Source organism: Homo sapiens, chromosome 6 (assembly GCF_000001405.40).
Source record: "Homo sapiens chromosome 6, GRCh38.p14 Primary Assembly".
Classification (NCBI taxonomy): Eukaryota; Metazoa; Chordata; class Mammalia; order Primates; family Hominidae; genus Homo; species Homo sapiens.
The window spans coordinates 91,356,679-91,368,849 of record NC_000006.12 but is presented as its reverse complement, the minus strand read 5'-3'; the positions used below and the strand labels follow the sequence as shown (position 1 = coordinate 91,368,849).

General features: G+C 37.8%; 1 long non-coding RNA gene across 1 annotated transcript; it reads right to left on the bottom strand.

Annotated features, from left to right (window-relative positions):
* Positions 1–2,081: 2,081 nt before the first annotated feature.
* Positions 2,082–11,066, bottom strand: LOC107986624 (uncharacterized). The gene is made up of 3 exons (XR_001744260.1): positions 10,806–11,066; positions 8,514–8,586; positions 2,082–2,201 (listed from the first exon to the last, which is right to left on the bottom strand). It is a non-coding gene; the product is annotated as an uncharacterized LOC107986624 (long non-coding RNA).
* Between the last annotated feature and the right edge of the window lie 1,105 nt (positions 11,067–12,171).

Genomic DNA, 12,171 nt, shown 5'->3' with positions numbered 1-12,171 from the left:
GGAGAAATAGGAACACTTTTATACTGTGGTGGGAATGTAAAGTAGTTCAACCATGTGGGAGAGAGTATAGTGCTGCCTCAAGGATCTAGAAGCAGAAATACCATTTGTCCCAGCAATTCCATTACGGGGAATATATTCAAAGGAATATAAATAATTCGACTATTAAGACACATGCACAGGTATGTTTATTGAAGCAGTATTTACAATAGCAAGTCATGGAACCAACCCAAATGTTCATCAATTATAGACTGGATAAAGAAAACATTGTACATACACACCATGGAATATTATACAGCCATAAAAAGGAATGAGATCATGTCCTTTGCAGGGACATGGATGAAGCTGGAAACCATCATCCTCAGCAAACTAACACAGGAACAGAAAACCAAACACCATATGTTCTCATTTATAAATGGGAGTTGAACAGTGAGAACACAGGGACACAGGGGAGGGGAACAACACACACCAGGGCCTGTTGCAGGATGGGGGTGAGGGGAGGAAATTTAGAAGATAGGTCAATAGATGCAGCACACCACCATGCACACGTATACCTTGTAACAAACCTGCACATCCTGCACATGTATCCTGGAACTTAAAGTAAAATTTAAAAAGAAAAGAAAATATGGCATGGGCAGGGGGACCTACAGGAGCCAGATCATCATAAACTTTGAATGTCATGCCAAGAAGTTTCACTTTATCTTGAAATAAATGGGGAACTACTGGAAGATTATTATACTCAGGGCAAAAACATGAATGAATTGGCATTATAGAAGGATTACTCACTCTAGGTGTGGTGTGGAGAATGAATTGGAGAAGAAAAGGCTGAAGGCACAAAGAGAAGTTGAGGGGTATTATGGTAATTCAGGCAAGATGACTGTACCTGGTAGACTTTCAATAACTGCTAGTTATATAAACTAGCAATTTTAACAATTTACACCCTTCAAATCCAAGAGTAGAATCTCTGCCATCATTTCATTATTTAGAATTGGCCCATGCTACAGTTGTCTGTTCTTACAAATTTAGAATATATCTACTCAGGGCAAGCCACTACTCAATATTTTAATGATGTGATGATGTGAGTGGGTAAAATTATAAGATACATTCCTAGCCTTACAGAAGCACATCATTAAGACATTAAACTCATAAAATGAGCTAAGAATGAATATAAAAACAAGTAAAATAAAATAATCATAATACATTTTAACATATTAGGTGGATTTCAAAATACCTTTTTAGTGATAAAGAGGTTGTTATAGACTGGAACAGTCAGAGATACTTTATGTGGACTTACCATGAAGAAATTAAATTGGACTAAATAGAGTGAACTTTATATATATATCATATATATCTCATATATGATATATGAGATATATATGATATATATATGATATATCTCATATATATATATATATATATATATATATATATAGCTTCTTGATTATTAAAGTGAGAGAATTTTATCAGGTGGACTATATTGCAATTTCAGAGTGAGCTAATATATTAAATAACTGCTGCTACCTTTGACATTTTTAAGCCAGGCATCATGGTAAAAGATAGTTGGGTGTTTCTTGATCAATCATCTTAGTCACTTTAAAATACTAATTATCCCTTGTAAATGTTAATAATATAAGCAATAAAGAACAGATGGCCAAATGATCAGAAAACAGCTGCTGTTTTCCCGTCAAACCCAAAGATGTGAGCAATGTTTCTAAACAAGGGCCCAGCAGAGAAATCATGGTGATGAAATTTTCTGCTGCAGGCCTATGCCATATATCTTCTATCTAAAGCTGCTTAAGGCATTTACAGGCGGTAAGGGCCATAATGGTGTTGATGATCTCTGCTGTATGGAGTGTTCTGAGATAACAGGCAGGTCACCTTCTGCAGGCCTGCCAGGGAACTTGGGGGATAATCTCTTCAAAGCTCAGGATAAGCTCCCCAGCATCGTTCAGTTCTCTGCTCTTAGGATCTTGATGAGCTTAGGAATCAAGCTGAAGAGAACACTTAATCTAAATGCACTCTAGTGTTCCACACAAATGGGATCATTGCCATTAATAAAGACAAAAGGAAGATTTTTGTGAGCTTACCTAGAATGGTTGTTTCTGCCCTTTACACTGCCTGCTGTGACATTTTGACTTCCATCTTCTAGATCTTCTTTCTCTCTTCCTCTTATTTACCATTCCCTACCTTATTCCTGTGCCAGGCTGAACAAAGCAGAAGAGAAGGTATATCAAGTTGTTTAGCAATAAATGTATCTGATAATTTTTGAAAATCTATTGATGTTTCATAATTTTTTTACATTTATTGCCCACAGATATGCATATTATTTATTTTGAATCATTCATATAAATCCATAAACCAAACTCTCAGTGATCACACATATCTGGCCATTAAGTATGTGGAGTTTCTATGTATGATTTATTGTGTGCTTGGATGAGTAAGGACTTTAGGCACTTATTTGTACTCAAAGAAAAGGCAAAGTTTCAGGTTCTCAGCCACCTCTTGCTGATAGCAGGCACTGAGAGCCTACAGGAGCCCCTCTTAGCTACATCTATGTGGACTTGCAGCAATCCTAAACCAATGCAGCTGGATCCTGGCTCCATGAAAATGAACTTTCTGGAGCCAGTGCAGCAATGTCCAGAGTAAGATCACTTGATGTAAGTTCATACAATCTTAGAAATTTTCTCCCTGATGATGGTAGGGAAAGTGTTGAACAGTTATTCTTGAGCAGGATGTGTCCTTTCCCAGATGTAGAAACAGATGAAGATTTGAAATGAACTTTGTTTTCACAACAGTGGAAGCTTTCCAGCTCCTCTCTCTTCCTCACCGGCCCTCCCCACTTCAGTGTGCATTGTAAATGTTTCAGAGATTGGCTAATTACACACCAAATTTAATTCCATTTCTTACAGCCTTAGAGCCAAACCACATTTCCCAGTTTCCCATGGAGTTGGCATGGGCTTGTGCCTGAGTTCTAGGTAATGAAACATGAACGGAAATAATGTAGACTTCTACACCTGGCTCTTAAAAATCTCCCAGGTGTGATCCTCCTATTTTTCCCCTTCCAGCTGCTTGATCCAGACAAGCATGCTTACCTTGACAGTCAGGCATTAAAGAAAGAGACACAGATGGAAGAATCCTGGAAACCTGAATTGCATGAATTTATTCTTTGTTAGAGTAGTTCTGGTTATGTTTGGTTCTTACTCTTACAGTGTGGCTGCTACTCTAGGACATGCTCCTTACCTCCAAGGCTAGGCCTTCTTGAAGTCTCAACCAAACGCCTGAATCTTCAGTGAGGTCTTTCCACTCCAACTAGGCCAGAGCTCCCATACCTCCCAGCATTTCTCAACATTTGGTAGCTATGTTCAGCTCTCATGCCTGAAGGATCTGCTCTCTGCTAAGGCCCAGGAAGTTTCTCCTGTTCATGAGTACCCAGCACTTGGGCAAAAACCCATAGTAAAGTAGTGAACATGTACAAAGACAACTGACTTCACTCCCAATCCAGACACAAAGCTTTCACTTCCCTGGTACCACCACCCAGCAAATCTCTATCATTTCAGCAGCCTTGAATTGCAATATCTGCCACTTACAGCTCAGTAAGATTGTCACTCTACTTGGACTCCACTACACTGCACCAAAATGACCTACTGAAATCTCTGAATGTTACTGAAGCATGCTAGTCTACATTATTCCCTAACTCTAGGTCACTGTCAGGATTCTCCAGAGGGACAGAACTTATAGGATATTGCATATGTAAAAGTGAGTTTTTGTTTGTTTGTTTGTTTGTTTGTTTAGATGGAGTCTCGCTCTGTTGCCCAGGCTGGAGTGTAGTGGTGCGATCTCGGCTTACTGCAATATCTGCCTCCCTGGTTCAAGCAATTCCCCTGCCTCAGCCTCCCAAGTAGCTGGGATTACAGGCACCTGCCACCACGCCAGCTATTTTTTTTTTTTTTTTGGATTTTTAGTAGAGATGGGGTTTCACCATGTTGGCCAGGCTGGTCCCAAACTCCTGACCTCAGACAATCCGCCCGCCTCAGCCTCCCCAAGTGCTGGGATTATAGGCGTGAGCCACCGCACCCAGTCAAAAGGGAGTTTATTAAGGAGCATTGACTCACGTGATCACAAGGTGAAGTCTCAGGCTGTCTGCAAGCTGAGGAGCAAGGAAGCCAGTAGTGCCTCAATCTGAGTTCCAAAACCTCAAAAGTAGGGAAGCCCACAGTGCAGCCTTTGGTCTGTGGTCAAAGGCCTGAGAGTCCCTGGCAAACCACTGGTGTAAGACCAAGAGTTCAAAAGCCAGAAAACTTGGAATCTGATGTTCCAGGGCAGAAAGCATCCAGCATGGGAGAAAGATGAAGGCCAGAAGACTCAGCAAGTCGGCTCATTCCACCTTCTTCTGCCTGCTTTTTCTAGCTACACTGGCAGCCAATTGGATGGTGCCCACCCAGATTGAGGGTGGGGTCTTCTTCTCCCAATCCACTGACTCAAATTTTAATCTCCTCTGGCAACACCCTCACAGACACACCCACAAACAATACTTTGCATCCTTCAATCCAATCAAGTTAACACTTGATATTAACCAACACAAGTCTACCTCTTGTCAACTTGAACCCACACACTTCTCACAAAATCACAATCTTCAAGACAATAAGATCATAATTTTGCTTAACATAATATGGCTATCCTTTGTACAACCGTAAGTGCACCAATCCTTAACCTAAATGCTATTACATAAAGTTAACATTTAAATGCTGATATGAAGTCAATAAATTTTATGTCACATGATAAAGGAAAAAGAAAATAAATAAAATGAAGATATTTTCTTAGTACAAGTGTATACATGCACAAACATATTCTTAATAAAATAAGGAGGAAGTACCCATGACAATTACAGTCCCTGCTTCTGCAACTGATCATGTGGTCATAACTGGTATTGATAACTACTTTCTTCTACTACCCATTCTGTATTCCCTCTGCCTTCAGCAAGAACCTCAGCAGGTAGTGGGTTTTTACCTGCTGGCATGACCCAAACCTTCATTCCTGAAGGTCTGGGCCATTTGCAGTCCTGCCTGGATTTGGGTTGTCATAGTTTCCCATTGACCTTAATCACAGGGCATGGTAATACTAAGAGACGCCCTAAGGGATCTCCTGAATTCCCTCTTCTTTACCTCCATTGTGGAGTAGTAGACTGATTTAATCTTGATAGTCCGGGTCCATAACCCCAGCCAACACTGTAACTCCCTTCTTAGCCTGTTGACTTAAAGGTAGGAGGAGCCCAAAGTGGCCATGTGGCAATCTTAACATCCAGTTTAATGGAATCGTTGTATTTCCTGATAGTAGCATTCCTCCCTCTGGAATTAAAACCTCTAGGCCAGCAGAATATAATGTTGTGGGAACAGGAGGCAAAAATTTTGCTAGTGGGTCACTAGGGGTGATGGTGGGTGGTGCCACTTCCTCTTCTATCCCTTGATTCCTGGACTCATGAATCCTGGCTATGGGAAAAACAGCACCGTATATAGGATGCTGATTCAGAGCATACACAGCCTTCTGGAGAACTTTGTCCCAGCCCTACAAAGTATTGTCACTTAGTTGGCATTGTAATTGTGACTTCAAAAGGCCATTCCACCATTCTATTAATCCAGCTACTTCGGGATGTTGGGGAACATAGTAAGACAAGTGAATTTTTTGAGCATGAGCCCACTGCCACACTTCGTTAACTGTGAAGTGAGTGCCTTGGTCAGAGGCAATGCTGTATGCAATACTGTGACAGTGGATAAGGCATTCCATGAATCCATGGATGGTAGCCTTGGCAGAAGCATTGTTTGCAGGATAGCCAAACCCATATCTGAAGTGTCCACTCTAGTGAGGACAAACTGCTGCCCTTTCCACGATAGAAGAAGTCCAAAAGACAAAGAACTTAGAGTCTGATGTTCGAGGGCAGGAACCATCCAGAATAGGAGAAAGATGAGGCCAGAAGACTCAGCAAATCTGCTCTTTCCAACTTCTTCTGCCTGCTTCATTCTAGCCATGCTGGCAGCTGATTAGATGGTGCCCACCCAGATTGAGGGTGGTTCTGCCTCTCCCAGTCCACCGACTCAAATGTTCGTGTGTGTGTGTGTTTGTGTTGTTTTGTTTTGTTTTGTTTTGAGACAGAGTGTCGCTCTGCCACCCAGGCTGGAGTGCAGTGGTATGATCTCGGCTCACTGCAATCTCTGCCTCCCAGGTTCAAGTGATTCTCCTGCCTCAGCCTCCCGAGTAGCTGGGACTACAGGTGCACACCACCATGCCCGACTAATGTTTGTATTTTTAGTAGAGATGGGATTTCACCATGTTGGCCATGCTGGCCTCAAACTCCTGACTTCAGGTGATCCACCAGCCTCAGCCTCCCAAAGTGCTGGGATTGCAGACACGAGCCACCACGCCCTGCCCACTGACGCAAATGTGAATTTCCTCTGGCAACACTCTCACAGACACACCCAGAAACAATACTTTGCATCCTTCAATCCAATAAAGTTGACACCTTGTATTAACTATCACAGTCACTAAAAGTAATCCATTTGTGTGATTTTAATGCTTTCATTTTTTAAAATAAAATCTATACTTTTGTAATTGTATGTACATATATTTTGCTGGCAAGTTATAAGAATCGCTTGAAAGTAGTTATAACTTCACTAGAAAATAGCAGTTGCTTAAAAATATCTGCTGTTTAAAAGGTGGGAAAAAGTGGTATAAACAATATACCCAACTGAAAATTATGACAGCGTCTAAAGATGGTTCCCATAAAATCAGAAACTTCAGTGTCATTTCCGAGAATGATTAAACTTTAACTTAATGAAAAAGGAAAGAGTTATTTCTGATATTCAGAAAAAAATAAAGTTCAGAGGAAGATCTGAAAAGTTGATTTAAAAAAAACATAAAAGTGACCATTCTGATTGGAAAAAAAGATTAAACAGTACTATTAATATAAACATGTTTTTGTTAAAGAAATACATTAATTTTTTTTCAGGCCAATTTTACAATGAACATATATCATTTACCCAGTGGAAATTTATTTTTGTTTTAGAAAAAAGGGCATGCAATTATACATTCATACTGGAAAACCTTTATACTAAAAACAAAAGAGAGGTAAGATGTAAAAACATAGTATATTAGATTTCTTGAACAAAGTTCTGTAAATACTCTGTTGTCAATTAAAATAAAAAAGGTTAGATGTGTAAATAATTATTTAAACATTCTTGTAAGCCATCAGATTGTCTAGTATATGTTGGGTAAAAAAAATTAAACATACTAAGTATCCGATAAATCAAAGAAAACGTATATTGAATATAAATTACTTAAATTTACAGATAAAGAAGTTAAAAATGCTAAAATTGTCACAAATTTTGTTACCATTTGTTTGTCCCTTCATTCTTACAATAAGCATGGTTCAATTAACTAACAATTTCCCATAAAACCTTTGTTCTTGTGTTTCAGAAATTGAACAAGATGTTGGAACTGAAAGGAGGCAGATGAGCAAAGCTTGCATTTTAGGTATCTTGAAGATTAGTTTGAGAAAACTGAGCTAAATTGTATACTTTTGATGTCTCAGCTTTCAAGTCAGCTCAGACTCAGCTCTAGTCTAAATGCAAGGACATTGGATACCTCCCTTTCAAAGCTTTTCATTCCTCAAGATGAGGTATTCAATTTTTGAAATGTAACATTCCAATTCCCTCATGATCAAATGGTTTTTGAAAAAGAACAGAAGCTTCTGAAACATTATTATAACCAAAAAAAGGCAAAAATAACTACAAAAGAATAGATTCATGCTTAACCAAAACTAAAAGGCAAAAGGACATATTCCAAATAGTCTCATTCAAGGACAAAAACCAACAGAAAAATCTTTCAGCAGGGTCAAAACACTGCAAATAAGTGTCCCAAGCTTGCAAGACTAAAAGAGCTAATGGTTATGTAAACCTTATAAGTAACTGGATATAAAGAAATAGAACTACTTAGCAATGGTAATTGGGCAAAGGAGGTATGAACTAAGATTATAATTGTCCATACATGTGTGTGTGTGTGTGTGGATATATATGATATATATAATCATATATATGTTAATAGGGAAATGAAATTTCTAATTTCAGTTAAAACACTGTAAAATTTATAAGAAACAGTGCTGTCCAAGGTGGTATGTGTGTGTACATATACGCATGTAATATACATACATATGTAACACACAAATGTATATATGCTCAATATTAGTTAATTCCCTACTCATTCATTTATTCCTCATTCATTCATCTATTAGTTTATTCATTTAGCAAATGTATGACCTCCTGTGAGCCAAGCACTATGTAAGGCATTGAGAATATCATGATGAATACAACATACATGATCTGTTATTTATGGTTTCTAGGAGTCTATTAGGCAAGATGGACAATTTTGAAATAATCAACAAAGTACAATAAATTTTCATGTAAGTAAAATGGGGAATAAGCAAAAAGAACATAGAGTTTTCATGGTTGCAAAAAGAAGACACTTACGGAAGCATCTTTGGGTCAGTTATGACAGTTTGGTAATTTCTGAGCCTGAGTCCAAGTACATATTCTATTGTAGCTATTAAAAAGAAAAACAATGATTAGCCTGTGGCATCAGGTTTTCACTGTCAGAGTGTTATAACTTTTAACCTCTCTATTGAATTATAATACAAATTAATTTTAATTAAATAACAGACTTTCGAAAGCATTTAATAAGTGCATATTCCACATGGACATATGTTCAGATATCATTTAAAAAGTTATTATCTTTAAAGAAATTTTAAAATTACACTGACAAAGTGCAGTAGTGTCAAACTCTAGAGACCAAGATATATAATATGATTGTCAGACCAAGAATGGTAGAAAAAGTTCACTTGTAAATACCGAAATATGAATTTCAGAGGTGTTGGCAGAAACAGCCCATTAAACAAGTCAGCAGCTCAAAATCTGCCTAAGCAATAATTTCCAGTTTTAACAGGAAAGTTTGTTTTAGCAGGCTCTCCCAGTGATTCTGTTGTACACTCAAGTTTGAGGAGTAGAATTCTAGGGCCTCAGATCAGTTCCTCCCATCTTTACCATAAAGTTACTTACCAGCCCCCCTTTATGCTCTACACATTCCTTTGACTTTCAACCTTTTCTCTAAATATGTTCATCTCTTCTGGAGATAGCCCTATCTGTTTTTTGCTGGGTCTATTTTCTTTTTATCTGAAACACCCAAGCCTGGGATATATCTACCACATAAAATCACATAACCCTGAGGTTTTCTTCTTCTTCATGATGGACTCATCCTGAGCCCGTTTATACTAGTGAAGATACTGGCCACAAAACATCAAAAAATACAGTCACCTTACATTGAATAATACATATTTTTTATCTTGCTTAAAAGTATGTAGAAATTCCAGGCCATAAATTTGTTCAGACAAGTTCTTTTCATCTTGTGGGCTCCCTATTCCCAGGACTGTGTCCTCATTTGCAGAGTTGAAGCTGAATGTGGACACCTCTATGTTCCAAATCAAGGGAAAAGAAAACATAAGAAGTCCAAGGAAAGTGATTTCCTTTTAGACAAGTGACCTAAAAGTTACACATTCACTTTTTCCCATGTTCAACTGGCCACAAGGGTGGCTGTTCAGCCATGTGCCCAGGAAGAAGAGAGAAGAGACCTGACCTGGCAATCATTAGCCAACACCACACCTACCCACTATATCCTCTCTAGAAGTCCTCAAAGTGTATGGCAACTCCCTGGCTATTCACAATGTGTACTATCTTCTCTTCTCAGACAAATGGAAGCATGACCCTGTCCTAATCAATAAAGTGTTATACTTAATTATCTGTGATTCTTTTGTCTATGACCTCAAATCATCCTTTGATTATTGGTAGAAGCAGAGCCCTCTATAAATACAGGCAAGAGGCCTGTCTGCAAGGTATAGAAAAGAAGTAGTAAATTAGAAGGTAGAATGCTTACAGAATCCAAACGTGCCCTCATTTTGTCCATAAGTCATCTTCAATTTAAATATACATAAGCTTATATATCTTATATATATGTACGTATAGCAATACACAACACACACACACATACAATAGACAGTTTTCAATATATAAATTTGTTTTTCTCACTACAATTAATTTTAAAATCCATTTTTTACAATTCATAAAATATTTCTCCCTAGGGGAAAAATGATTACAATGGGAAAAATCTTCTAGACTATCATGCTAAAGCATCCTCAATGTGTATATAGGATTTACAGCATTTGCATTCGTGAAGGCAATCACATGCAATATTATAACTAAATACTTTATTTATGAACCCTCACTGGAGATTTTAAAATTTCATTCCCTCTGACATAGTTTTGATATTTGTCCCCACTCAAATCTCACGTTGAAATGTTATCCTCAATGCTGGAGGTGGAGCTTGGTGGGAGGTGTTTGGATCATGGGGCTGGATCCCTCATGAATGGTTTGAGCCATCCCCTCGGTGGTAAGTGAGCTCTCTCTGAGTTCACAAGAGCTCGGGTCCTTTAAAAGTGTTTGGCATCCTCCCCCAACACCCCTATTTCTGCTCCTGCCATGTGAGACAACTGTTCCCACTCTGACTTCTGGGGAAACTTCCTGAGGCCTCCACAGAAGCAGATGCCATCATGTGTCCTATAAAGCCTGCAGAACCTTAAGCCAATTAAACTTCTTTTATTTATAAATTACCCAGCCTCAAGCATGTCTTTATAGCAATGCAAGAACCACTTAATATACCCTCTTTCCCCCTTCACCAGATAATGTGAATTTGGGAATGCTCAGTCCTCTTACCTCTTGCCTGTTGACCAGTGAGACCAGAGACCAAGTCGAAATTGTTGATATGTCCTTGGCTTTGGCTATGGGTTCACCTGGACAGCGAGTGTCAGAAGGGTTGAGAGTCAGGGATTGCTATGGAGTGCAAATTAGAAGCCCTGTGAGTAAGGGTTTCCTGATAAGGTAATATTCAGGAGAATTTTTTCAGTCTTTATTGACTTCTCATTCATACATCCTCTTTCCTTCTTAGATCCCCATGGATTGGTCCATTTATTGATATCTTTTAAAAATTCAACCTATATCAAATCAGCTCTATCCTAGAGGTGACATATTCAAGTTTCATGATATCTAGAAGACATATCCCTTTAGAGAATAACAATAATTAATCATTGAAGGATGAAACTTTCTTATTCCTCATGCCCTTTACTTTCTCTTTTACACAGTAAGGGCAAAGCCCAGGTCCAGCATTTTTCTGGTGGGGTCTGAGAGTACTTAATAGATCAACAGAAGACTACATGCATTATAAAAATAATTGGGCTGGGATAATCTTAGTCATTTTATCATAAGAGTCAGGGTTTAAAAAATGCTGACTTAAGTGGGATAAGGTAGGGGAAGGGAATAAGAAAGCTACAGTAATGTGTAAGAATGTATTCAACTAAAAGTAGAAAAATTCTAAAGCACAATTATAAGAATACACAAAAGTTTTATAAATAAAATATACACATAAAATCACATCAGTATATTATATCTTAATTTGTATAAAAATTCACTTTCTTAATATCCAATTCAGTATTTCATTGACATCATCTCCATACATTTATGGTACCTGGTGGAAAAAAGAACAAATATACATACAAAATCATATTGTTCAGGGTGGGGAAAAATGGTGAAAGTAGAAAAAAACTATTTTCCGTTATTTAAAAAGTTCAGATGAAAATATTTAATATGCAGTACATACATTTATATGTAACTTGAACCACAATTTAGGCAACTTTTTTATTAAATTCCACTACTTCTGAGATTTTTATTATTTAATTAGGTTTAAGTGTACCTAGTGTGATCTTTTCAAAGGAAATTTCCTAGCAAAAAATAATGGTAAGCAATGTGAAAATGTCCTTACTCAAGAGAATAAAGTACTGCTATATGGTATATGATTGATTACCAGTTGGCATGGAATCCATGTGTTGATACTAAGTCATGCTTTTTGATTCATTAACTCTACTGTTTAAAAAATCTACAGGGAAACGTAACCCTTATTTAATTTCACATTATTTAAAAACAAACATATTCTAGCTCTTAAAACTTTACCTGTAATTTCTATTTAGTAAACAATACCAGCATCTTCTTAATCCAGGTTCAGATGTTAACTCAGGTGCATATATAC